This window comes from Homo sapiens, chromosome 10, assembly GCF_000001405.40.
Source record: "Homo sapiens chromosome 10, GRCh38.p14 Primary Assembly".
NCBI lineage: Eukaryota > Metazoa > Chordata > Mammalia > Primates > Hominidae > Homo > Homo sapiens.
The window spans coordinates 63,464,722-63,490,261 of record NC_000010.11 but is presented as its reverse complement, the minus strand read 5'-3'; the positions used below and the strand labels follow the sequence as shown (position 1 = coordinate 63,490,261).

General features: G+C 38.4%; 1 protein-coding gene and 1 long non-coding RNA gene across 10 annotated transcripts in view, besides 7 other annotated features; one reads left to right on the top strand and one right to left on the bottom strand.

Annotated features, from left to right (window-relative positions):
• JMJD1C (jumonji domain containing 1C) overlaps window positions 1-25,540 on the top strand; it is a 354,666-nt gene that overhangs the window by 31,629 nt on the left and 297,497 nt on the right. For 4 of the 9 annotated variants that reach the window (XM_047424773.1, XM_047424772.1, XM_047424775.1 and 1 more), the window contains exon 2: window positions 20,654-20,719. The exons of 3 other annotated variants lie outside the window; for them this stretch is intronic. Coding sequence is in view for 2 of the 6 variants with exons in the window: in NM_001322252.2 (NP_001309181.1) it covers window positions 24,600-24,767 (168 nt within the window). In the remaining 4 variants the exon portion in view is untranslated. Of the gene's footprint in view, window positions 1-20,653; window positions 20,720-24,284; window positions 24,768-25,540 lie in introns of those variants that run through there. 2 more of the 9 variants (NM_001322252.2, NM_032776.3) reach the window with 1 other exon arrangement.
• On the bottom strand, window positions 23,699-25,033 carry JMJD1C-AS1 (JMJD1C antisense RNA 1). Its single transcript, NR_027182.1, has one exon. It is a non-coding gene; the product is annotated as a JMJD1C antisense RNA 1 (long non-coding RNA).
• Window positions 23,823-23,872: an enhancer, noted in NCBI's record as "active region_3440". NCBI's record gives its function as "activates an Ori minimal core promoter by ATAC-STARR-seq in GM12878 lymphoblastoid cells {active_cell/tissue: GM12878}" and the evidence as "EXISTENCE:reporter gene assay evidence [ECO:0000049][PMID:35858748]".
• Window positions 24,143-24,292: a silencer, noted in NCBI's record as "silent region_2408". NCBI's record gives its function as "represses an Ori minimal core promoter by ATAC-STARR-seq in GM12878 lymphoblastoid cells {active_cell/tissue: GM12878}" and the evidence as "EXISTENCE:reporter gene assay evidence [ECO:0000049][PMID:35858748]".
• Window positions 24,143-25,172: a biological region, named in NCBI's record as "H3K27ac hESC enhancer GRCh37_chr10:65224969-65225758".
• Window positions 24,264-25,053: an enhancer, noted in NCBI's record as "H3K27ac hESC enhancer chr10:65224969-65225758 (GRCh37/hg19 assembly coordinates)". NCBI's record gives its function as "activates a minimal SCP1, AML or CMV promoter by ChIP-STARR-seq in naive and primed H9 embryonic stem cells {active_cell/tissue: H9 hESC(naive and primed)}" and the evidence as "EXISTENCE:reporter gene assay evidence [ECO:0000049][PMID:30033119]".
• Window positions 24,323-24,492: an enhancer, noted in NCBI's record as "active region_3439". NCBI's record gives its function as "activates an Ori minimal core promoter by ATAC-STARR-seq in GM12878 lymphoblastoid cells {active_cell/tissue: GM12878}" and the evidence as "EXISTENCE:reporter gene assay evidence [ECO:0000049][PMID:35858748]".
• Window positions 24,573-24,642: an enhancer, noted in NCBI's record as "active region_3438". NCBI's record gives its function as "activates an Ori minimal core promoter by ATAC-STARR-seq in GM12878 lymphoblastoid cells {active_cell/tissue: GM12878}" and the evidence as "EXISTENCE:reporter gene assay evidence [ECO:0000049][PMID:35858748]".
• Window positions 24,833-25,172: a silencer, noted in NCBI's record as "silent region_2407". NCBI's record gives its function as "represses an Ori minimal core promoter by ATAC-STARR-seq in GM12878 lymphoblastoid cells {active_cell/tissue: GM12878}" and the evidence as "EXISTENCE:reporter gene assay evidence [ECO:0000049][PMID:35858748]".

Sequence of the window (25,540 nt, the reverse complement as noted above, 5' to 3'; positions counted from 1 at the left end):
GCTCAGTAGGTCAAGAGTCTGGGAAAGTGCATTCCCATAAAGGAAGCAGCATGTGCAAGGCTCAGGTTGGAGACAGCTTGTACATCTGAGGTGTAGAACAGTGGTCCCCAGCCTTTTTGGCACCAGGGGCCAGTTTCATGGAAGACAATGTTTCCAAGGACTGGGGTGGGTGAATAGTTTTGGGATGAAACTCTTCCACCCCAGATCATCAGGCATTAGATTCTCATAAGGAACATGCAACCTAGATCCTTCGTGTGCTCAGTTCACAGTGTCCTCCTGTGAGAATCTAATGCAGCTGCTGATTTGACAGGAGGCAGAGCTCAGGCTAGATAATGCGCCCTCACAGGCAGCTCACCTCCTGCTTTGCAGCCCAGTTCCTAACAAGCCATGGACTGGTACTGGTCCATGGTCCGGGGGATGGGGACCCCTGGTATAGAACCTGGAAAAGTGGGCCAGACCCAGTGGCTCACGCCTGTAATCCCAGCACTTTGGGAGACTGAGGTGGGTGAATCACTTGAGGTTAGAAGTTCAAGACCAGCCTGGCCAATATGGTGAAATATGTCTCTATTAAAAATATAAAAATTAGCCAGGTGTGGTAGTGCATGCCTGTAATCCCAGTGTTGAATCTCTTCACTCATTCCTTTTAGACCCCCATCCAACAGTTACTCCTCTTGCTTGCAGTACTTTTCCTTGAGATTTTTCTGAAAGCATAATGCGTCCTTTAGTTACAGTTTCAGCTCCACTCCTTTCAGCCAGTACTCGGTGAAAGAGTGGAAGAAGCTTTCTAAACACTTGACCTGCCATGACTCCTGCTGCTGTAGCTTATACTCATATTATTTATTTATTTATTTATTTATTTTTGAGACAGAGTTTCACTCATTTTGCCCAGGCTGCAGTGCGGTAGTGCGATCTCGGCTCACTGCAACCTCTGCCTCCTGGGTTCAAGTGATTCTCCTGCCTTAGCCTCCTGAGTAGCTGAGATTACAGGCGCCCGCCACCATGCCCAGCTAATTTTTGTACTTTTAGTAGAGACAGGGTATCGCCATTTTGGCCAGGCAGGTCTCAAACTCCTGACCTCAGGTGATCCGCCTGCCTCAGCCTCCCAAAGTGCTGGGATTACAGGCGTGAGCCACTGCGCCCGGCCTCATTTTTTACTTTTTAAATGACTAGCAACACAGTAGGTTTGTTTACCCCAGCACCACCACAAACATATGAGTAATGTGTTTTGCTAGGATGTAATGCCAGCTATGACATCATGAGGTGATAGGAATTTTTCAGCTCCAGCATAATCTTATGGGACCATCGTCCTATATGCCATCTGTCATTGACCAAAAAATGTCATGTGACACATGACTGTGATAAGGATATATCTCAATGAATTTTTAAAAACTGAACACACTCATATAAACAGCACCCAGAATAAGAAACAGCACATTACCAGCACCCTCAAGCTCCTCTCAACACCCACTGCAGGTTATCAATTTCCCTTAGCAAAATTAGGCTGTTTTATGCCATACTATAACATATCTTCAGTTGCCAAATAATGGGAAAGATAGAGTTAATCTCAGCTTACTCGTATATAAGTCATATAAAACACTATTTTTATTTTCTCTTTATTGCTGTCTTTTTAATTAAATGGATATAATGAGTGCTGAGAGCATGTCCCTGCTGTGTAGTGTCAGTAGTGTTATCTTTAAATATAGTACAGTTTTTTTTTTTTAACATTCATTTTCAACTCATTTTGAAAAGAACCTGGGCTTAATGGTTTTTCAAGAAACGTTAGGAAAGCCTTGTTGATTTTTCTTTTTCTCTAATGTATGTTTTATATTTTACCTAAGAAAAAGAAGCACCATATTTTTTTCCCACACTGGTCTTAATCTAAGAAAGGTAGCTTTAGAACATTGATATTTTAAAAATATTTACAAATACTATTTTCCCAGTTGTAGGGAGGCTCCACATGGTTAAAGTCTTCTGGTCTGATGGATCACCACTTTGTTTGAAATAAGGGCACATATTAGGAGGGCCTTCCTTTGAAGTAGAGGTATTTGCATACATAAATCTATGCCGTGACTATAAAGTACTGAGGCTGTGTGTACTTTGTGTGCAAACAGATGTCTGTAAACATATGGGCCAGTCTCTTCTCCCACCCCATTTTTTTGTAAGTCATGGCTCCTGCGTTTTGGTTCAGAAAGTGTGAATTTGGAGATTCACTCATTCTGGGGTGAATCCCAGCTCTGTCATCCACATCGTATGACCATATACACTTAACTTTCACCTCTCTGTGTCGCAGTGTCTTCATTTATGAAATTGGAATAATATACCTTTCTTAGAAGTATTACATGAGGAATAAATGAAATAACAAATGTGAACTAGCATCCTGGTTGGTTCATACAACTTCACAGTAAACGATAGTTTCTTCTCTGTCACTCAGAGTTGAAAACTGCAAAGTCTATCACATTATTCCCGATGAATGTAGTAATGTCCTAAGAGTGATCACTCATTGATGACATGTCAGCCATTTGAACATTTCAAACACAGAGGCCACTTTGTCCCCCTCATTGATCTGTCAGGCCTCTCACATACTAAATCTTTGCCTTACCCACCTTCGTGGTCTATCACCTTAACTCTGATCAGTGTCTTTTAACTTTCTTGTCCCTTTGTCTTCCCATTGATGTGCCTAGGAAATCTGCCAACCTGGATCAGTCAGTGTTTCTCAGCATCAGCACTATTGACATTTTGGATCCAAATAATTCTTTGTTCTAGAGTGCTGTCCTTGGCATTATAGGATGTTTAGCAGCATCCTAGCCTCTATCCACTGCATGCCAGTAGCAACTCTTTTCCTGCAGATTGTGACAAACAAAATTGTTTCCAGACATTGCCAAATGTCCCAAGGGGAGAAAATTGTTCACCCCAGCCCTCCTGTGTTGAGAATCACTGTCTATATGCTTTACTTGCCCCTTCATCTTTGGTCCTGATGAAAAATGACACAGGTCATTGTCACTATAAATCCATATTTTGTAATTTCAACTGGGTCCTTAATTTTGCCTGGTAGTCCTTTAATACTTCCTAGTCCATTCTCCCATTTTTCATGGGGCTATTTTAGATCTCCTTTATTCTCTTCAGACTTCCTATATCATACCTTCCTCTTATTCTTAACAGATGACCTTGTCTTCTTTTCAAACAGAAAGTAAAATAGAAGCTATTATCTTTGTCCTCCTTCAATTTTGTGATGCCAACCATGAACTTACCTAAATCTGAGTTCTGGCTTCAGCATTTAGCAAATGTTGTGACCTTTGGCAAGTTAGCTTTTAAGCCTCACTTTATTCATCCGTATCATTACTGTTAATGATAGAAATCATGTAAGGTACTTAGTGTAGCGCCTTGGCCATAGTGTCTGATGATGATAAGGGGTAGGGAATGCCACAGGTGTGGAAGGTGGTGCTATTTTATGTAAAGTGCTCAGAGAGCCCCATTTTAGGGTAATATTAGAGTAGATTTCTGAGGAAAGTGAGGAGTAAGCCATGCAGAGTTATTTGGAGTTATTTGGAGAAAGTCATGCAGTTCACTTTTCAAGAAATGTACTGTAAGTTAAGAGACAGAATGGTAACTGCAGGGTGATATGCAGTTAAGGGAGTGGGTGGGTTTGTTGTTTTTTTAGATGAGAGAGATATAAACATTTTTAATTGCCCATAGTAAGGTACCATTAGAGGAGGAAGGATTAAAGTTACAGGAAGAGATAAATTAAGCTTATTTCAATAGACTGAATTATTTCTATCCATTTTCCGTGCCACAGGTAGATTAGTTATTCTAAATGCTGATTCCTTTGCTTCCTTGCTTAAAGTCCTTAAATGCCTTCAGTTTCCTTTAGTCTAAAATACAGCTTCACAAAGTGCTTTTTACCAGGTCATGGTCAGTTGGTCCCTGCTAACATATCCACCTTCAGCTCTCAGCACTCGCTCTATCCATGCTTCTTCTGTCTCCCAATCTCCCCTGCCCCTGCTGTCCCTTAAACGTGCTAAGCTTCAGTCATACTCTAATGAATTTCTCAAACTTCCTCACATGTGGCATGCTCTCTCAAGTTTTCTGTTTTTTGTTTTTTTTTTTTTTTTTTTTTTTTTTTTTTTACAATTGCTTGAAGCCCTTTACTTTCCCCTTCTCCACGTCTTTGGCTGACTTTCATTCATTCTTCAGGCTTTGTCACGTCTATCACTTATTTTCTGACTACTTCCCTGACCCCAATCCTGGATTAGTTGCCCCTTCTGTGTGCTGCCATCCATCCATTTAATATCTTCTGTTGGACTTCTCACTTTGTGATACTAAATTATATAGGCCGTTTTATTTGTCTTGTCCCTACTGTGCTGTCAACTTGGTGGGAACAGAGGCCATATATGTCCTGTTCACTTTTGGATCCCTGTACAAGGCAACAGTACCTGGCATACAGTAGGCCCTTTGCAAGTATTTACTAAGTAAGTTAATAGATTTAATTGCTGGTTAGATAAAGGAAAATATTAGTTCATTCATATAGCACTGTTATTTAAAATTACCCTGTGCTGGATGTTGTGCCAAAGGTCCCCAGGCACTGCTTTCAAATCCCAGTCCTGGAAATGAAACATGCACAGTGATGCTTTTCCAAATATGAGTTCTCCTAACTCAAAATGGAGTAAATTTGGATTTATTTTTAATACCTCTTTGTTAATTTTGAGAATTTTATTTCTAGGATACGATGTCACTCATTATTCTACATCAAACTGTCACACATGCTTAGAAAAAAAGAAACAAAGCATTGAAGGGGAGAGGGGATCTTTTCTCTTTCTTTTCTTTTTTTTCTCCCTGCTGCTGTTTTGTCTGAATAAAGACTTGTGAGGTAGAAATGGAGACTGTAAGAAAGGCTTGCATTCTCTGAGCACAACCTGATAGCAAGGGGATTTTGAAAGAATAGGTATAGAAAGAGGAGAGCACAGTAAGTATTTCAGGAAGAGCCATAGATACTCTCATCTGTGTTTTAAAAGTTTTTCTAGTAGCGTTTCATTTCAAAAACAGACAAACAAAAAGCAATGAACACTTAGCATTTACTCTGCACTTATATGCCTGGCACTGTGCTAGTTGTTTTGAATTTTTTATTTAATCATTTTAAATATTTAATTAAATTTATAATTTAATTTATAAATAAATTATTTATTTTAATCTTTATGAGGCTAGTGTTGTTACCATCCCTTTAGTGGGTTTACATCTATTTCTGGATTTCTTTTTTTTTTAAACCCATAATGCCAAATCCTAATTCACTCCTCCAGTGAATTAGGGGAGGGGAGAGCAGCATGAACCCTAGCTTGCTCTAGTGTCCTTTGGAGCCTCTAGGGCCTTGCAGTAGTGGAATCGGGAAAACTGAGGAAAGGTGAGTGTTTCCTTCCTTCCTTTTATTCCCCCCCTCTATTTTCTATTTGAGTCTGGCCATTGTCAGAAATATGTCATTAATATCTCATAATCAAAGCTCAATAGAAATTAAATGTACAGTACTTATTATAATCAATTTTAGATAGATATATAAATTGGCATGGATAGTGCCAATTTTTTTTAAGTTAAGAGACAGTAAAACATCTATTCTTGCCTTTTTTTTTAAGTTAAGAGACAGTAAAAGTAGGGTTGTCACTGCTTTTATTGGTTTGATCATCAAGATCTTATGTTTTCAACTCCATTTTTTTAACAAAATCTCAAGTTCAGCTACAAATTATCCTATCACAAAGGCCACTATTGAAGTTCAAATAAGTGCTGTGCTTGCTCTGAAGTGGGAGGGTATAAATAGCGTGAAAAGGGATATATTTGGAAAAGTTACATACACTAGAAGTTACATACTGAAAATTATTCAATGAGGAAAGCAGTATGATCTCAAAAAATACGAAGTCCATTATGAGTTTTTGAAATGGTGGTTCTTAGGATCATTCTGGTGTTGTGAATTTTTTTATTTTTATCTGTCTGTCTTATCTATCTATCTTATCTATCTATCTATCTATCTATCTATCTATCTATCCATCCATCCATCCATCCATCCATCCATCCATCCATCCATCCATCCATCCCAAGGTGCTGGGATTACAGGAGTGAGCCACCATGCCCAGCTAGTGAATATAAACACTGCCTTTGGAAGCTTGCAATCCAGTCCTGGTTCTGTCACTTCCTATCACTGTGAAGTCATGTTCATAACTTAGGCATGTTATTCTTTCTTAGCTTCAGTTTCCTCACCTGAAAAAGTAGAGATAATATGTATTCAGATTATTGTTAGGACTAAATGATATAATTCATGCTAAATGCTTATTAGAGGCTTAGTAGTTATGACATGCTGAGAAGTATTAGTGCATTTACTGAAGTACTGTGCTAGTGATTGGCAACATAATGTGTCTGGTTTAAGATATTAAAATTTTTAATCCTAATGAAGAAAGGACAAATTAAAAATGAATCACAGTTAAAATGTATACATACATTATTGAGAAATGAATTACATTATTTTGGGTTCTGCAGAGAATCAGGTAAGTATAAAATAGATGCCAGCAGCAATATCATTTGCAAGTATAATCAAGATACTAAAATGCATTTGGGGAAGATAATCCATCTTTTTGTGAAGTTTTCAAAAAATGGCAAAAGGGGGAGGGATGGGAGAAAGTTGGTTGTTATTATAATGCTACTTTGTTATAAACAAAAATTTTCTCACAAAGTAGAGCAATTGTCATTTGACAATGTCTGGAGACACATTTGGTTGTCACATGGAGGGTGAGAGTTGGGGAGGTAGGTACTGCTGAAATCTAATGCGCAGAGGCAGGGGTGCTGCTCAGCTTCCTAAAATGCACAGAGGATAGCCTCCCCCTCCAAAACTTATGTTTCCTAAAATGTTACTAGTGCGAAGGCTAAGACTTTCTGATCTAGACTTATGCAACCGCTCACTTGGAAACTAATGTTATGGTATGTTTTGTGGTAAATACTTTGTAGAAATGTCTGGATTGTTTTAATCTATCATACTTTATCTGTAACTGACAATGGTGTTTTATCCTCTTGAAATTCTATTGGTTTTCATGGAGGAACTAAAATTAGTAAATTTCTCAGATAATTACTTGTTTTCATGATGAATAATGAACAATCCAGTTGACCAATTTTAAAGACTATTTTGATTGACATATAGTTACTTTACATTAGATTTTATAGTTATAATTTGAGATGAGTTCCTTTATGATGATAATTATTTAGACTAGAGTTATTTGGAGATTTTTCAAAATGGTCATGATTGATTAGATTAACCATACATAGTAATTACAGATTTAATTTTTCAAAAATTAGGAAGCATTTCATTGATTTCTTAAAAAAGCAAACGGGCTGTTACTGACCTTTCTTAGCAATAGTTAATTGAGTGCTTCCTTTGCTCAACTATGTTCTATGCATATATTATGTGTTCATTATGTGATCCCCACGCACAGCAGCTTCTTTATATAGGAATTATTCCCATTTCATAGATAAGAAAGCACAGAGAGATCAAGTGATTTGCATGGTAACACAGCTAGTAAATGGTGGAGCTAGGATTAGAAGTCAGGCAATGTAGCTCAAGTTTGGGGTCTCTCTCTCTCTCTTTTTTTTCTTTTTTTTGAGATGAAGTCTTGCTCTATCACCCAGGCTGGAGTGCAGTGGCGCGATGTCAGCTCACTGCTACCTTGGCCTCCTGAGTTCAAGCGATTCTCCTGCCTCAGCCTCCTGAGTAGCTAGGACTACAGGTGTATGCCACTGTGTCCAGCTAAGTTTTGTATTTTTAGTACAGACTAGGTTTCGCCATGTTGTCCAGGCTGGTCTTGAACTCCTGACTTCAGGTGATCCGCCTGCCTCAGCTTCCCAAAGTGCTGGGATTACAGGTGTCAGCCACCATGCCTGGCTCATTTGCTGTCTTAACCACAATATTATTAAAATATTATACTGACATTTAACCAAGAATGTTTAAGTACTTTCTGATTATTTACTTGTCTCTAGAACACATCAGTGAATAGTTAAGTCCTTAATGTCTTGGTAAGTTCTTGGAAACGTCTACTTAAAAAGTGAAACAATGTATAATGAAACCAATTTTTTTTTCCTCATCAATGTCGTAAGGAAATGAGGTTGATTGAAACAACTTTGGAGAACCTTCTGTACTCCTTTCATTTAGTTGCGGTTTCCAAGAACCTATCCACAACATTAAGTGGGGACTTACTATATAGCCAAAAATAAAATGAAAGGCATATAATTTTGAAATGTACTTGTAGCTTTGGAATGTACTGTACAGTGAGTTCGTCATACATCTAGATGAGGATGTAAAAGAACAAAAACTTGGAATTTCCCTCCCTCTCCATGCAGCTTTGAAGAGTCTTTAATCCAAGGGAAACCTACAGTTCTTTCTCTGCCGTAGGTTCTCTTCTCCTCTCTTCCACTTCCTCCAGCTCCTGTTTGTCTCTTCCTCCCTGTGTGTCTTACTACCTTGTTTTGGGGGTTTGTTTTCTCTCCTGATTTTTACCTCTTTCAGTCCTCAAAATGGTCTGAATAAACTGGAGATTAATTTATTTTTGAAAGAAGTGTTTGTATCTACTAAGTGAGGTTATGGAAGAGATCCAAAAATGTTCTGGGTGGCAGGAGAAGACATTTAAAATACACAGTTAATAAGCCACATTTAGATAATCTATAATTGACTGTAGTTTATTCAGAAATGTCTTTTGTTAAATAAAGCTTCTAAGTGAAGTCTCAAAGCCACAGAATTAAGAAAGGCTGTTTGTTTAGTCAATGTGATTACTGCTCATATTTTTAAAAGGAAAAAAAAGCAAAAAAAAAAATCAGTTTTTCATAAAAGGAAATGTGTCCACTATTTTAAAGATATAAATATTCTGTCTAGTAGATATGGTATCTGCAATAAATGTGTTTGTACATATTGTCATATTCTGTTAATATCACCGTAATTTCCAAGTGAACTTTAAAAAACTATAAGGGATCAATTATTTTTCAAATCTGAAAATTTTATCTAAAGTTTAAAAACTATTTCATTCTACAGCTATTTATCAGCTAAAGAAGAGAACTTCATTTATTAGCAGTACCTATAATACAAGGAAATCCTATTTAGTTCCTGAAGAAAAATACTTATAGTTTCTCAGCAGGTAGAAGTTGAATTTAGTAAAAACATTTGAGGATTCAGTCTATGATATGATTAGCCTAATTTTATAATGTCAACACATGAGTGGCATTTGTAAAATTTACAAATAATGATACTTAGTTCTGATGAGTCTATAATGTGGTTATGTTAAACATAATTTCTCTTACATATAAATATGAATTATATGGTAGGCGATGAAAATGCTTACCATTTCTTCTCCAGAAAGTTAATATCCTGTGATATAGAATGAAAGTAAGGAAAGGACTGTTGTTGGTAGTCACAAAAAGGAACTTTTTCTTCCTTTGTAGTTATAGCCAGAGTCCTGGGCTTTCTCATTTGCCATTTCCATTTTTTTTTTAACTGAGTGATATAACAGCAATGTAGCAAAAATAAGTTTGCATCCACAGTGCTTTCTGTCAGAAATGGTGCCTCTATCTATAGGCATTCAAACTGGCTGTGATGAATAATAGTTTTTTTTTTTTTTTTACAATAGTACTTTTAAATTGTCAATAACATCCACTGAAGGAAGCTTTAAATGCGTTGGTCCTGTAACCATTGTGCTCACAGCTTTCATTGCTGCCATTCTAGGGTGCCAGTCCCTGGAGTTGTGTTGGCTTTATAAAACTATAGTTTAGGCCAGGTGTGGTGTGTCATTCTTATGATCCCAGTGCTTTGCGAGGCCAGTGTGGGAGGATCACCTGAGCCAAGGAGTTCGAAGTACAGTGAGCTATGATTGTACCACTGCACTCAAGCCTGGGTAGCAAAATGAGACTGCCTCAAAAAAAAAAAAAAATCAAACTATAGTTTAGGCTGTTTCTGGAGGATTCATTAGTGCTCCCATCGAATGTATTTAGGAGACCCGCACAGGGTTGCAAAAGATGGGCTTTGTAGGTCATTTGCATCTTGGTGAAATGGGACCCTTTCCAACAGGATCAAAACCTTTTATATTGGCCACAGAACATTGTTGTCTCATTTGACAAACTCTGGACTACAACTAACTATATAGTGTAATTCTTTAAAGATTTAAAAAAATTGTCAAAGTAATAGATATTCATTCTTTTTTGTAATGGTATTCTAGAGTACCATATTTAGAAAATCAGAAAACTGGAACAAATTAAAAAATATATATTTGGCAAATCTATCACCCAAAGAAATCCACTGATAATATTTAGTCTTCTCAAAAATCTCTTCCCTGTTTTTGGTTACTGGGATCATTATTGTCTGAATCTTTCAAAGTAGAAATCTGGGTCTCATATGTCATTAAATTTAAGAAGTTCTGCTATTTCTGTGTCACTCTCAGTGGGACAACAAGACATTATGTGTGTCCTAATGTAATGGATTAGGAAAGTACATGTATCACCTATGGACTATTATGGACTATTTTTGCCAAAAAATTGAAACTGAATCATGTCTCTAGATCTAGATCTTACTACCACTTTACAGGAAATATGGGGAATAGAATAGTAAATTAATACCATGAGGGAACAGTTAGCTGAATTTAGGATATGGGAAATTCTCCAGGACAAATGACTTAAATGAGATTAAATGAGATTTAAAGAGACTTATCAATCAGATGCAATGTGTGGTTCTTGTTTTGTTTCTGGTTTACACAAACTAATGGCAAAAATTTCATTTTTGAGGTAATTGAGGACATTTGAGTATGGACTACTTATTAGATGATACTGAAGAATTATTGCTTATTTTGTAAAATGTGATAATGGTATTGTAGGGTTACTTTAAAGAAAAGTCTTTAATGGATAATGATACTTTCTTTACTATTCCTGGGTGAGATGATACGACATCTGGGATTTGCTTTAAAACATTCCAGCCAAAAAAAAAAAAAAAGAGAAGAAATAAGATTGGCAATTTGTTGGTATTGTTGCATGAAGGGTATGTGGGTATTCATTCTTCTTTTTCTCTCTCTCATTAAGTTTGAAAATTTTTGAAACAAAAAGCTGAAAAAATTATATAATACGTAAAAAGTGTATAGCATAAAATGTTCTAACAGCCTACATAGAAAGAAAATTGGGTCAGTGATATAATTCAGTGTCTATATGATAAAAACAAAACACCTGCTAGGGAATAGAACAATTCTTGCTTATATTAAGACCAAAAAGTTTTCTTTATTAGTGGTTTTTGTTCATTTGTTTTTGAGACAGGGTCTCATTCTGTTGGAGGTTGGAGTGCAGTGGCAGGATCCATAGCTCGCTGTAACCTTGAACACTTGGGCTCAAGTGATCCTCCAGCCTCAGCTTCACAACTAGCTAGGACTGTAGGTATGCACCATGTGGTTATCAGCTTGACCTCTGGGGGGTCTGGAGACTAAGGTCAGCCATGCAAATAGCCCCAGTAAAAACCCTAAATACTAAGCCTCAGGTGAGCTTCCCGGTTGCCAGTATTTCCTGCATGTTGTGCATATGTTGTTGCTGGGAGAAATAAGCCCTGCCTGCATGACTACACCGGGAGAGGACAACTGGAAGCTTGTGCTTGCTGTCTCCTATGCCCCTCTTCCCTTTGCTGATTTTAATGTTGTCATTTTAGTGTAATTAACAGTAAGCAAAAGTATAATGTTTCTTTTGAGTTTTATGAGTCTCTCTAGTGAGTTCTGAGGGTGGTTTTGAGGATTCGCCAAACGCAGAGCTTCATCCATATCTATATTGTTGCATGTATAATATTTCATTTATTGTTGAGTAGCACTCCATAGTTTGCCTGTTTCCCATTTGAGGGACATTTTTGGTTGTTTGCAGTGTTTGGCAATTACAAATAAAGCGGCTATGTACATTTGGGTGTAGAGGTAGGTTTTTTTATGAACATAGGTTTTTATTTCACTTGGGTAAATACCTAAAAGTGGGATTGCTGGGTCATATGAAAAGTATATGTTTAACTTTATTAGAAACTCTTTTGCAAAGTGGCAGTCACTTCCAGTCAGCACTGTATGAGAGTTCTGATTGTTCCTCATCTTCCTTTACTGGGTCATATGAAAAGTATACGTTTAACTTTATTAGAAACTCTTTTGCAAAGTGGCAATCACTTCCAGTCAGCACTGTATGAGAGTTCTGATTGTTCCTTATCTTCCTTTACACTTGGTATCTCATTGTGGTTTTAATTTGCATTTCCCTGATAATTAATGATGTTGAGTGTCTTTTCTTGTGCTTATTTGCCACTTGCATATCTTATTTGGTGATGTATTTGTTGAAATATTTTGCCCAATTTTTAAAAATTTGTTTTTTTTATTATTGAGTTTTGAAAGTTCTTTAAATATTCTAGATATTAATCCTCTATCAGATATGCATTTTGCCAATATTTTACCTCACCCTGTGACCTTTGGAGAGCAGAAGTTTTTAATTTTAACTATGTTTAATTTTTAGTTTTATGAATCTTGCTTTTGGTGTTGCAGGTGAGAAATTTTTGCCTATCCCAGTGTCACAAAATGTTTCCTCCTGTTTTCTTCTGAAAGTTTTTTAGCTTTATATTTTACGTTGAGATCTATGCTCCATTTTAAGTTAGTTTCAGTATATGCTGCAAAGTATGGGTCAAGGTTCGTTGTTTTTTTTTTTTTTTTTGACATATGGATGACAAATTGTTCCGGCACCATTTGTTGAAGAGATCATCCTTTCTCTGTTGAATTGCATTTTTACCTTTATTGAAAAATCAATTGACCATATAAGTATGGGTCTATTTCTGGACTCTCTTATTTTGTTCTGTTCATCTATGTATATCTATCTTTTTGCCAACATTATGGTGAGTTGATTACTGCAGCTATATAGTAAGACTTAATATAAGATAGCATATTTTATATAAAGAGTCTTCCAATTTTTTCATTCTGAAATTGTTTTGGCTGTTCCAGTTTCTTCATCTTAACTTATTTGGGTTTAGAATCAACTTGTCGGTGTCAAAAAAAAAATTAATACCATCATTTTGATTGGGATTGCTTTAAATTTGCAGATCAATTTGGAGAGAATTAGAATCTTATTGAGTCTTATTAGAATATTATTAATACTGATGCATGGACATGGTATATCTCTCCACTTATTTAGATCTTCAGTCTATATCTTTTTGAGAGAGGTCTACAGTTTGTGTCTCTTAGCAATTTCTGTTTCATGTAAATTGATGAATTTTTTGTATAAAGTTTTTTATACTTTCTCTTTTATCCTTCTAATATTTGTAGAATCTGTAGTGATGTCACCCCTCTCATTCCTTTTAGTTTGCATATTTTCCCCTCTTCCTTGTCTAGAGATTTCTTTCTGCAGCTTTGATCTGCTGGCCTCAAGTGGTCCTCTTGCCTCACCCTCCCAAAGTGCTGGGATTACAGGTGTGAGCCACCATGCCTGGTCTTTTAAAAAATGTTTTTAATTTAATTTTAAAATTTTGTTTGTCTACTTATTTTAGAAACAAGGTTTTGCTCTGTCATCCAGGCTGGAGTGCAGTGGTGTGATCATGACTCACTGCAGCGTTGATCTTCTGGACATAAGCAATCCTCTTGCCTCAGCCTCCCTCCCAAGTAGCTTGGGCTGCATGTGCACACCACCAGGCCTGGCTAATTTTTAAAAATTTTTTGTGGAGACAGGGTCTCACTGTGTTGCCCAGGCTGGTCTTGAACTCTTGGCCTCAGCTGATCCTCTTGTCTCCCAAAATGTGGGGATTACAGGTATGAGCTACTCTGTCCAGCCTATAATTTTTGATTGAATGCCAGTCATCATTTTATGGTAAATCGTATTTATGCTGAGAATTTGTCATGACTCTTGTTCTGCTAAGGTGTTAGCGTGGAGGGTTGAATTAGTCTTGCTTGGAGTTGATGAGAATTTGCCTTTTATTGCTCTGATTACCTTCAGTGCATTATCAACTTTATATATATAATTATTTATATATATATAATAAATAAATATATGTATATATTTGTTTATTTTTAGACAAAATCTCATTCTGTCGCCCAGGCTGGAGTGCGGTGGTGCAATCTCGGCTCACTGCAACCTCTTCCTCCCAGGCTCAAGGAATTCTCCTGCCTCAGCCTCTCGAGTAGCTGGGATTACAGGCACCTGCCACCATGCCTGGCTAATTTTTTGTATTTTTAGTAGATACAGGGTTTCACCATGTTGGCCAGGCTGGTCTCAAATTCCTGACCTTAAATGATCCACCCACTTCAGCCTCCCAAAGTGCTGGGATTACAGGTGTGAGCCACTGCTACCAGCCCATTATCAACTTTAAATCTATTATCACCTAGTACTTAAGATGGGGATTGATTTGCTGCAAAGTTTTGACCAATGTTTTTACTTCATGTTTACCTGTTAGCCTTATCTGCGCACCTGAACTTCAGAGAGGGTCTCTCTCTGTTCTTTTGCTACTTCTCTAGTAGTCGAATGCTCTTACTTAGGTGTTACTTGGAGCTAGTTTGTGTTGTTGTGGTGGGCATGGGGCCTTGGATGCTGTTTAGCTTTGTGGTGGTAGGAATTGAGCTTTCTCTTTTGTTCTAGACCAGTATTAGTCTTAGGCAGGCTCTGTTTTCCTCTATTCTTGATAATCCTCCTTCTCCCCAGTAGTAGGAGACCTCTATTGTTTTGGTCTTAGGTTACTTTCTTGTCTGTCCTTCAGAAGTACATACAGTATCATCTAATTTTGCAGGAATTTATTAGGAAGTGTTTTCACATCCTGTATTAAAAGGAATATATTTGGAAGCCATTTTTGACAAGTACCCGAACTTTTTAAGGTAGCGCTAACTATTTTCATGGAATTAGATCTTCCTTACTAAGTAAAACATAGTTTTCAGTGGTGATAATGTAGACCAAATTGAAGGCTATTTCTATTCCCTCTAGGAAGTATGTATTCAGATGGATTATTTTTTTAAAAGCATAAAACAAAATTGTAAAATGGGGAGTATCCTTAGCTGTCCAGGGTTCATAAATGCAGTCCTAATCGAACTGAGCATTTGAGAGAGACATAATGACTCTACATATGTTGCAAGTAATAATGATGTAATTATTTATTATAACTGTAAAGGAAAGGATAATTATGTTTAGAATCATGAACATCTGCAAATTTTCATGATTTATCTTTACATTTTATACTCGCTTAACCATCACTATATGATGAAGATATAGGGCATTTCCAGCACCTTCATGCCACTTCACAGTCAATACTACCCACCCCCATGGGTAAGCACTATTCCAACTTCTATCAGCATTCATTAGATTTGCTGTAATTTGTTCATTTAACAATTTGTCACATTTTCCGTATTACATTATTACTCATTCTTTTTTTTTTTTAATAATTTGAGAGTAGGCTGACTGGACTACATAATTTGGAACTTTTGACCCCATTACCTTCAGTCTTCTCTTTGATTTTATTTTGCTCTGTTTAACAAATTGTTTTGGGCTGAGCACGGTGGCTCATGCCTGCAGTCCCAGCACTTTGGGAGGCTAAGGTGAGAGGATTGCGTAACGCCAGAATTTGAGACAAGCCTAGCAAAATAGTGAGACCGTCGTCTCTACAAAAAAATAAAAAATGAGCTGGACGTGGTGGTACATGCCGGTGGTCCCAGCTACTTGGGAGGCTGAGGCAGGAGGATTGCTTGAGCCCGGGAGGTGGGTCAAGGCTGCAGTGAGCCATGATTGTACCACTGCACTCCAGCATGGGTGACAAGAGTGAGACCCTGTCTCAAAAAAAAACAAAAAAAAAAGGTGTTTTTATTTCTATTTCATCCCCATCCTTTGATAAATTTTCTTCAGGATTCAAGTATGTATCTCTCTCATCCTAAAACACTTTTCTTCACGGCTGCCCGCTTTATAAGCACTCTTACACTCCCACTCATTTTAGCGATTGAGGAGAGACTCAGCAATCAGTTGACCAAAGCATCTAACATACTTTTTCCATATTTCTATATCCTTAGTCTGTTCACTGAGGGTGATTTCCAAGGAGTCGAATTACTGAGTCAAATGGTATGATTTGTTTAAGGCTGTTATCAGTAAAGATGGTCAGATTGCTTCCCAGAAGTTATTTATTTATTTATTTATTTATTATTATTATTTTTTTTAGTGTACCAAGTGTGTATTTATTTCTTTTTTTCTTTTCTTTTTTTTGAGACAGAGTTTCACTCTTGTCACCTAGGCTGGAGTGCAATAGCGCAATCTCGGCTCACTGCAACGTTCGCCTCCCGGGATCTAGGGATTCTCCTGTCTCAGCCTCCTGAGTAGCTGGGATTACAGGTGCCCATCACCATGCCCAACTAATTTTTGTATTTTTAGTAGAGACGAGGTTTCACCATGTTGGCCAGGCTGGTCTCAAACTCCTGACCTCAGGTGATCCGCCCGCCTTGGCCTCCCAAAGTGCTGGAATTACAGGTGTGAGCCACTGTGCCTGGCCCCAAGTATGTATTTCAGTTTACTTTATGCAATTTAACAAAAATTTAGTCATAATTTACCAGATATACATAAATGATTTAAGTAGCGAAAGAAAATTCAGCTTTACAACAATAAGTTCATATCTTGAGGAAAAGTAAAAGTACATTAAGAATGTAAAGGCAAGTCCAGTTTCGATGCAATAAGTGACCTGTAATTCCTAGAAGTTCTTTTTACCTGGCCAGGCACAGTGGCTCATGCCTGAAATCCCAGCACTTTGGGAGGCCAAGGTGGGAGGATCACTTGAGGTCAGGAGTTCGAGACTAGCCTGGCCAACATAGTGAAACCCCGTCTCTACTCAAAAATGCAAAAATTAGCCAGGTGTGGTGCTGTGTGCCTGTAATCCCAGCTACTCAGGAGGCTGAGGCAGGAGAACTGCTTGAACTTCCGAGGCAGAGGTTGCAGTGAGCCAAGATTGTGCCACTGCACTCCAGCCTGGATGACAGAGTGAGACCGTGTCTCAAAAAAAAAAGTTTTTTTAACCAAATGTGTATTACTTCTACAACAGAGCATTTGTTTTACCATATCCTTGTCCTACTTAATGTTTTTTTCATCTTTATTAGTTTTATAGAAAGTATTATATCTCTATTCTGTAGGTCTTTTGTAATTAAGGGATACATTAACAGATTTAAAATTTGAATTAGGCTGGGGGCAGTGGCTTACGCCCGTAATCCCAGCACTTTGGGAGGCCGAGGAGGGCAGATCATGAGGTCAAGAGATCGAGACCATCCTGGCCAACATGATGAGACCCTGTCTCTACTAAAAATACAAAAATTAGCTGGGCGTGGTGGCGCTCGCCTGTAGTCCCACCTACTCGGGAGGCTGAGGCAGGAGAATTGCTTGAACCTGAGAGAAGGCGGTTGCGGTGATCCTATGATCGCGCCACTGCACTCCAGCCTGGCAACAGAGCAAGACTCCATCTCAAAAATAAATAAATAAATAAAAATTGAATTATAAAATTCCTAAAAGAAAATACCAAAGAATACCTACATAGAGTATTTTTAAAGCATGCCTTAAGGCTGCAACATAAATATATTAGCATATTTGGCTATATATGAAATTTTAAAACTTGTGAATATAAAAAGAAATTGCAGGGCGGGGCGCAGTGGCTCATGCCTGCAATCCCAGCACTTTGGGAGGCAGAGGCAGGTGGATCACTTGAGGTCAGGAGTTAGAGACCAGCCTGGCCAACACAGTGAAACCCCGTCTCTACTAAAAATACAAAAATTAGCCAGGCGTGGTGGCACATGCCTTTAATTCCAGCTACTTGGGAGACTGAGGCACGAGAATTGCTTGAACTCAGGAGGTGGAGGTTGCAGTAGCTGAGATTACGCCGTTGCACTCCAACCTGGGCAACAGGGAGACTCTGACTCAAAAAAATAAATAATTAAATAAAAAAGAAATTGCAAGTGGGGGAAAGAAGCATCCATGCAAATTTAGATATAAAAGCAAATGAAGCAATTGCTTTTAAGATAATTTTTGTAGCTAGAATAGTTGAAATTATTAAGAAATTATTATATATAATATATAATAGTTGAGATAGGATTTTTATCTATTATAGATGAAGAAGGTATATAAGGTTAAAAAGTGTCAATTCAAAAGTTTATTTGTAATGTAGAACATTGCAAAAATTCTTCCATTTCAAGTTAGTTTTGATAGACTGTTTGTTTGTTTGTTTGTTTGTTTTGAGACTGAGTCTCACTCTGTCGCCCAGGCTTCAGTGCAGTGGTGCAATCTCAGCCCACTGAAGTCTCTTGCTTCCCGCGTTCAAGTGATTCCCCTCCCTTAGCCTCCCGAGTAGTTGGCACTACAGCCATGTGCCACCATGCCCAGCTAATTTTTGTATTTTTAGTAGAGAAGGCATTTTACTGTATTGGTCAGGCTGATCTCAAATTCCCGACCTCAGGTGATCCGCCCCACTCAGCCTCCCAGTGTGCTGGGATTACAGGTGAGAGCTACCATGCCTGACCTATTTGTTTTAATATAATGGTTTTATGACCAAACTTGGAAAGCAGAGGAAAGAAGCAGTTTTACAATGATGTTTAAAAACTGTTATTTAGTACTTTGGTTTGTATTATATTAGTATGTATTAATATTAGTAATTAGTATGTAGTAATATTAGTATTAATCATATGTATATCTTCTTTGAGACCTTTGAGAAATAGCATATGCTGAAGTCTTTCTAACAATATTTGTTTTGCTAAGCAAGATTACTTTTGTCAGTCCTTTAACATTTTGGGGGTTTGAACCTACCACGTGACAGGAAAGCATACTTTGCTCCTTGCTGAATTACGTGTGTTCTTGATTATAAATTTCCTTCATTATATAATACCTAGCTTCATTGGTGAGGAAGAACATAGATGGAGTATATGGTTAGCATGCAGAGATTTTGAGTTGGTATTACTTTTTAGTTTAGATTTTACATTGGCTTTCCTTCATTTATAGTTTTAATACAAGTTTAGAACCTCCTTTACTTAATGAACTTTCATGGATATAAACAGAAGACTTTTACCCTGCTGCTATTAACTTGTAACAATAGTGAAAGCTTGTAAGATTAATAAGAACACGACCCTTTTGGAACCTAACCTGTTTGCAAAGTGCAGACTTGCATATTTTAATGGTAGTTAATAGTTGGAGCGTTTATGATAGGGATGATGAACAGAGAAAAAGTGCAGTGGGACACGCTGGCAAGACTCTTACTGTGTGCTCAATGGCAACTTTCCATTTCTTTATTTCTTGTAGTTCCTCACTCAGCAGATTAGGAATTTTCTGATGCTTTGTGTATTCTTTCTAAATTTTTAATTTTTTATCATTAAAAATCAACCTTGTTTTTAATAGAGAAGAGAATGTTGAAAAGAAGTGGTACATTCCTGTGCAGCCAGAATTTAAACTGGAAACTGGATAACAGATGGATAGAAAGTACAATTAGAAGGCCCAATAGAGATTGCTTCACTTCCTCCTTCATTTCTTTTCTATCTTCCTTTTTTTCTTCTCTTTCCCTCCTTCCATGGCATCAAGAAGATAGTCAGAAAGTTATGTTTGTATATTGGCTCCATCAAGGATGTTATTTGAGACTGTTCTTTTTAGAAGACTAAGAATAGACTAGTGTTTTGGATATACACTCATAGGATCATTTTTGGGTTTGTATTAAATTGGTAGTTTGGTAATGAAATGAATGTTTTTTCTTGAGAATTGTAACTCTTCCTTCTGTATCTGTTCTTTAGAAATTTTCCCAGGAAAAACCTTGCTTTTCTACTGAAGCATGTTTTCGAAGGCTTAACATTGTACCTCCATGATGAAAAGAGATAATGTACATAAGACATTATTTTGAAGGTGATGAATAACCCTGTAGGAAGAACAGGAACTCTCATTTATGTCCGAGATTCTAAGTTCCTCTTAGTTGAGTTAGATTTAGAAAAAGGTACATTTTGCTATATTCATTCATTCATTCATTCATGCTATAACATGTTTTATCATCTCTTAGCAAGGCCTGGTAGCTGCTGGGAGTATAGTTATGAACAAGACAAAGATGCCTTATGGAGCTTATATATCCTATAAAGGGAAAAAATATAAATGATCAATTACACAATAAATGGTGTAAATACAGTTGTGGTAGTACTAAGACAAATAAGGCATGTTTTGAAAATCTGTTATTGGGGAATCCTACATAGTCTGAGAATCAGGGATGGTTTCCTTGAGGAAGTGATATTTTGATATTTGAGTTAATTTATCATTATCATAAATGTGATTGAGGAATTCATTTTAAATAAGTGCTTAGGGTATACAAACCCCAAATACAAATTATTTAAGGTTTAATAAAAAAATGGTAACATAAATTTATATTCCATTTATTCTTGGTCTTCCACTTGCATAATTCAGTTGAAACTCTTGGTTTCCCTCATTTAAATAGTGGCTTGCACGATTCTTAGCCCTATCTATATATATAATCTAAGACTTCATAAACGCAGTCCATTATTTACATTTGACAATTAATAAAAGCCTTCAAGTTATAATAGGTTTGAAAAATATTTGTTAAAATGCATTAAATTTGGATGAAATTCTATTGATAGTTCCTTAATTAAATAAACCAAAGCATTTCTATTGTCTATCTTTCCAGATAGACTGTGAGCTTCTCAAGGATAAAGGTCCTATCTCCAGAACCTTGCAGGATGTGACCCACATAGTAAGTGCTAAATAAATACTGAACACAGCAATTATGAGTAAACTGTAAATAAGGATGAAACAACTTGATAACTGACCTTCACGTTTCTTTTAAGTGACTTTTTAGTATAATAGTTAATAGCAGGGAGCCTTTGTTATCACAAGATCTGGTTTTGAAAACCAGTTTCTTAATGTGTATTCTTAGGCAAGTTACTAAACTTCTCTAAACCTCATTTTCTTTATCCTCAAAATGAGATTACGTGTGTAAAGTACTTAGTATACTGTCTGACACATAGTAAGTGTTCTATAAGTGGTGGCTAAAAAGATGTGTTAAACTTTTTGTCTGTGTTAGATAATATCTGTGATATTTAAAGTAGACATGTATAGTGACATAAAATATTAGTATGTATGAGAGCAGATGATTGACACTTTCCACAGTTACATACCAAGTCAAAAAGTGAAAAATCTATAACTACTAGGCTTTTGCTTATTCAGACTAAACTAAGTAGATAATTATGGTTCTTATTGCAGTGAATACATTTTCTTCCTTTATAAGTCAGTTTTTTAAAAAAACAAAATAGTTTGTGGGTTTTTTTTGTATTTTAAAAATGTTTTTTAGAGACAGGGTCTTGTGATGTTGCCCAGCCTGAACAGAAGTCCTGGGCTCAAGAGATCCTCCAGTTGCAGCCTCCAGAGAAGCTGGGACAACAGACACATGCCATCATCCAGCCCAAGCTGTTTTTATGAATAAATTTTTGTGAACTTCTAAAAAGGGAAAAAATCAAATAATCTCCCAGTCTTTGGTGTAGATTAAGATATTTGATGTAGGAGGTTTGCTTGAATTGATGTGTGCATAGGCATATTTAATGGACATATTTACACGTGGGGATGGAAAGACTAGAAAATCTAATTTATATGTCTAATTTTCAGCTTCTATAAGTAAACTTAGTTATTTTAAGTAATTCACTGTCATTCTTTTTACCTGTATAATGAAAACAAATACCATTACTCTTCTGTTTCCGAGTATCTTTATGGAAGTAAAGAATGTAAGGAAACAAGTTAAGAAACAAATATTCTGAAGTTTCAAAACCAACTTGAAAAATTTTTTAAATTCCTTGTTATTTACAAAGTTATGATTTGCTGGCAAAAATAAAATAATAAAAATACCCCTTAATACAAAACGAAGCAAAAAATGCCAGCAAACAAACAAAAAATCTTTAAGGACTTTTTATTCTACATTTAAAAAAATGTACTTTTAAATTTTTCCAACAGCAAAATATCCACAAATTAGTGTAAACTCTAGGCATTGGCTGTAGTCAAGGGATTAGTAGAAGAGAATTTGGACCAGAGTTCTAAGAATATTAAGATACTTGATTAAAAATATTTTGGGGATATATGCCCTCCTGAAAAACTTTGTTTCTATACATGAAATATTTTGATTGATTTGTTGGATTACATGCTTTTCAGAGGACTGAAAAGGATGGAATTCAACATGTAGTGGGAGTTCCCAGGGGCCCATTTAGAGCAGTTTGCCTACAAAATTGAAAACAGCTGGCAGTTTTATATAAGGCAACTAGCAACCTATACTCTTAAGAATGTAATTTGGTGAGTGGGATTTATGTAATAACTGATGAATTTGCATGTTTTTCTCAAATGACTTTATTTGTATTTTTCGTTTGCTCCTAGGATATCACTGAAAATTAGGATTCAGGCATTTTTGCATTTTTACAATTGCATCATGCCCATGGTCACAAAGCAGATCATTGATGACTTGGTATCTGGATGTTGATCTCCCTACTCTTTTATCCTTACATATGTTGAATTATTGTCACCAAGTCACTTTACTGGTTCCTTAATCTACACTGATTTTAGAAATCTTCATCTGTAATTCTTAAGATAATTTGCTAAGTATTATACAGTGTACACTGAAAAAGTGGACTTGGAAATAAAATTGCCCAAGCAAAATTTTTTCTCTCAACTTGCCGATATGCATTTTTGGGTATGTTTTGCTGTTTTAATTTATTACAGGTTTTTTGTTTGTTTGTTTGTTTTCGGGGGGACTGAGTTTTGCTCTTGTTGACCAGGTTGGAGTGCAGTGGCACGATCCCGGCTCACTGCAACCTCCAGCTCCCAGGTTCAAGTGATTCTCCTGCTGCCTCCTGAGTAGCTGGGATTACAGGCATGCTCCACCATGCCCAGCTAATTTTTTGTATTTTTAGTAGAGACTAAAAATACATTTAGTTTCATCATGTTGGCCAGGCTGGTCTCGAACTCCCGACCTCAGGTGATCTGCCTCCTAAAGTGCAGGGATTACAGGCGTGAGGCACCGTGCCCAGCCTATTTATTACAGTTCTATGTTTGGTCTTTGGCAAAATTTGACCATGATTATTAAAATCCATCTTCCTTATAATTTTGGTTTCTAACCTATTAGCAGTGGTTGTGTTTCTCCACTTCAAATTGCCCAGCTTGAGTGTTCTAGAGAAAACAGATAAAAGCCTTATAGTTATTTTAAACATTCAGATTACTACTGTAAACTCTGTTAACTTTTTTTTTTTAAATAGAGGTTCAGGAAAATCTCAAGAAACTGAAATTTAGAATATTGGACTACCTATAAAAAAGCAGTATAAAGGGTGCCTGAAATCGAACTGCTCACTGACATTTGTAGGGAGGTTTGATTTATAACAAATAAGTTGATCAAAGAAGAGTGATTGTTCCAAGTTAGAGATCTTTGTGTGGGTTAGGGAGTCCGATTGTAATTGGATGGGAAATAAATATTTTTTTTCTTGAATTGTGATTGGCTAAAATCCTTTTCTTTCCATGGTATTTTCTAATAACTGAATCTGGGGATTTTCTCTGCTTTTATTATCTGACCAGTGTGTTTGAGCTGTGTACCAGTACTAAAAGTACTAAGACTGTCGCAGACACGGTTTGTGAAATTTCAGGACGTTGACAAGGGCCCGCCACGGAGCATTTGCTGTTCTTATAATAAAGCAGTGACGAATTTAAATCTGTGAATAGCTTAAACATGTAATTAGTATCACCACAAATGAGAAGAATGAAAGGATCACATTTTCCCCCTCGTTTTCCCTTGAAGTCATGAACGGTTGGTTCTGCTGTGACTTTGGGGCTTAGTTTTCAGTAGAAGTGTTGTCCTGCTCTGCTGCTGTTACTGCGGGACTGCTAATTCAGGCTAACTCAGGCGGCGGGCGCTGTGTGCTCTGAACATCAAACCGCGGGTGAGGCGTCAACCCAGGAGTTTATTTTGTGATCAGAGTGGAACCACTACACTTCACTTTCCCCTCACCTCCACCTCTGAGGGAGCAACGAATACAAAGGTAGACCCCCAAAAGCTTTGAATAGCTGTCGCCTACTTTCCCGCGGCCCTCTTCATTTTTTCGTCTCCCGCTGCCGCCGCCGCCGCCGCCTCTGGATCTGGACGGACCCAGTGGCCGCTGCCGCCTCCGCAGGGCCGGGCACTACTTTCCGTCTGCGGTGGTTCCGCCGACCCTCCCGCGGCTGCTGCCCCGCCCGCGCCGGCGGAAGGAGACGCGCTGCGCGCCGCCGCTGCCCGGGGAGGGAGACGGAGCAGTACTGGCCGCGGCGCGGTGGCGGCGGCTGGGCTGCCTCGGGGTCTTCGACGGCCGCGTTGGGTTTTGTTTCAGTTTTCTTGTGTGGCGCTGCAGCACAAGGCTGCGAATCTGGGAGTCCAAAGGAGTGTTTGCGGGGAGGGCCCGAGGTCGCTGTGTCCGGGGCAGAGCGGCCGGTTCGTCCCGAGTCTGCGCTCTTTCGGGTCCGCTGCTGTGTCCCGGTCCGCTCTCCTCAGCATGAGCGGCCGGTAGGAGTGAGGTTTCATCGGTTCCCTCGCACTGGAGGAGGCAGCGGCCGCTTCGGCAGCGACAGCTATGGCGGTAGAGACGCGGGCAGAGCTGGTGGGTAAGCGGTTCCTGTGTGTGGCGGTCGGCGACGAGGCACGTTCGGAGCGCTGGGAGAGCGGACGCGGCTGGCGAAGCTGGCGAGCGGGGGTCATCCGAGCCGTGTCACACAGGGACAGCCGCAATCCGGACCTGGCGGTAAGAGAGTCAGCGCCCCCCTTTTCCCCTGCCGCGCCCGCACCCGGCTCTCGCAGACGTACCTTGCAGGCTTCCCTCTGGCGCCTCGCTCAGCCCGGCCAACTGGCGGTCACGCCCCTCTGCTGAACCCTTGGCGCGTTTGCCCGCATCCCTTGCCTGGGTCCCTGCGTCTCTCCGAGCGGCTTCCCCTGTGGAGGTGGTGTCGGAGCAGGACTCCCGGGATAGCCGCGGAGGCTGCCCTGGCCCCCATCCCGGAGGGGTCGACCGCGGCTCCCCGCTGTGGCGCCTGGGCGGCCACGGAGACCTCCCCGAAAGGCGGAGCCGCGAGTCCGGCGCCGCGCGGGCAGGTGGGGGTAGGGGGCGGACCACTCATGGCGACAGGCGGCCAGCTTCCCTGGTATCTCTTTTCTTGGAAAAGTCTTCATAGTGCTGTAGCTCGAGACTTAAAACTTATCCTGTAAGGTTGCTGAAGGGGAGGGAGAAAAGAAAAGAGACCTTCCCACACAGTCCGGGGATTCCTATGTGTTTTAGAGGCAGAGGCCGTGGTGGTGGCTGTGCCCGGATTCATCCTCTCCTTAATAGATGCTTGGCTTTCTAACCGTAAAGGATAAAAGTGAAAAATTTTGGTATGGAGGGTAATCTCTCTTTCTGTCCCCAATGTGCTTTTCTTGTTAGAAAGGTATAGTTCTTTGGAGTCAAGCTGTTTCTGGGTTTTATACGATTTTAAATAAGACGAAAAATGTTGTCAATTAAAATGTTAAATGCCATGCAGA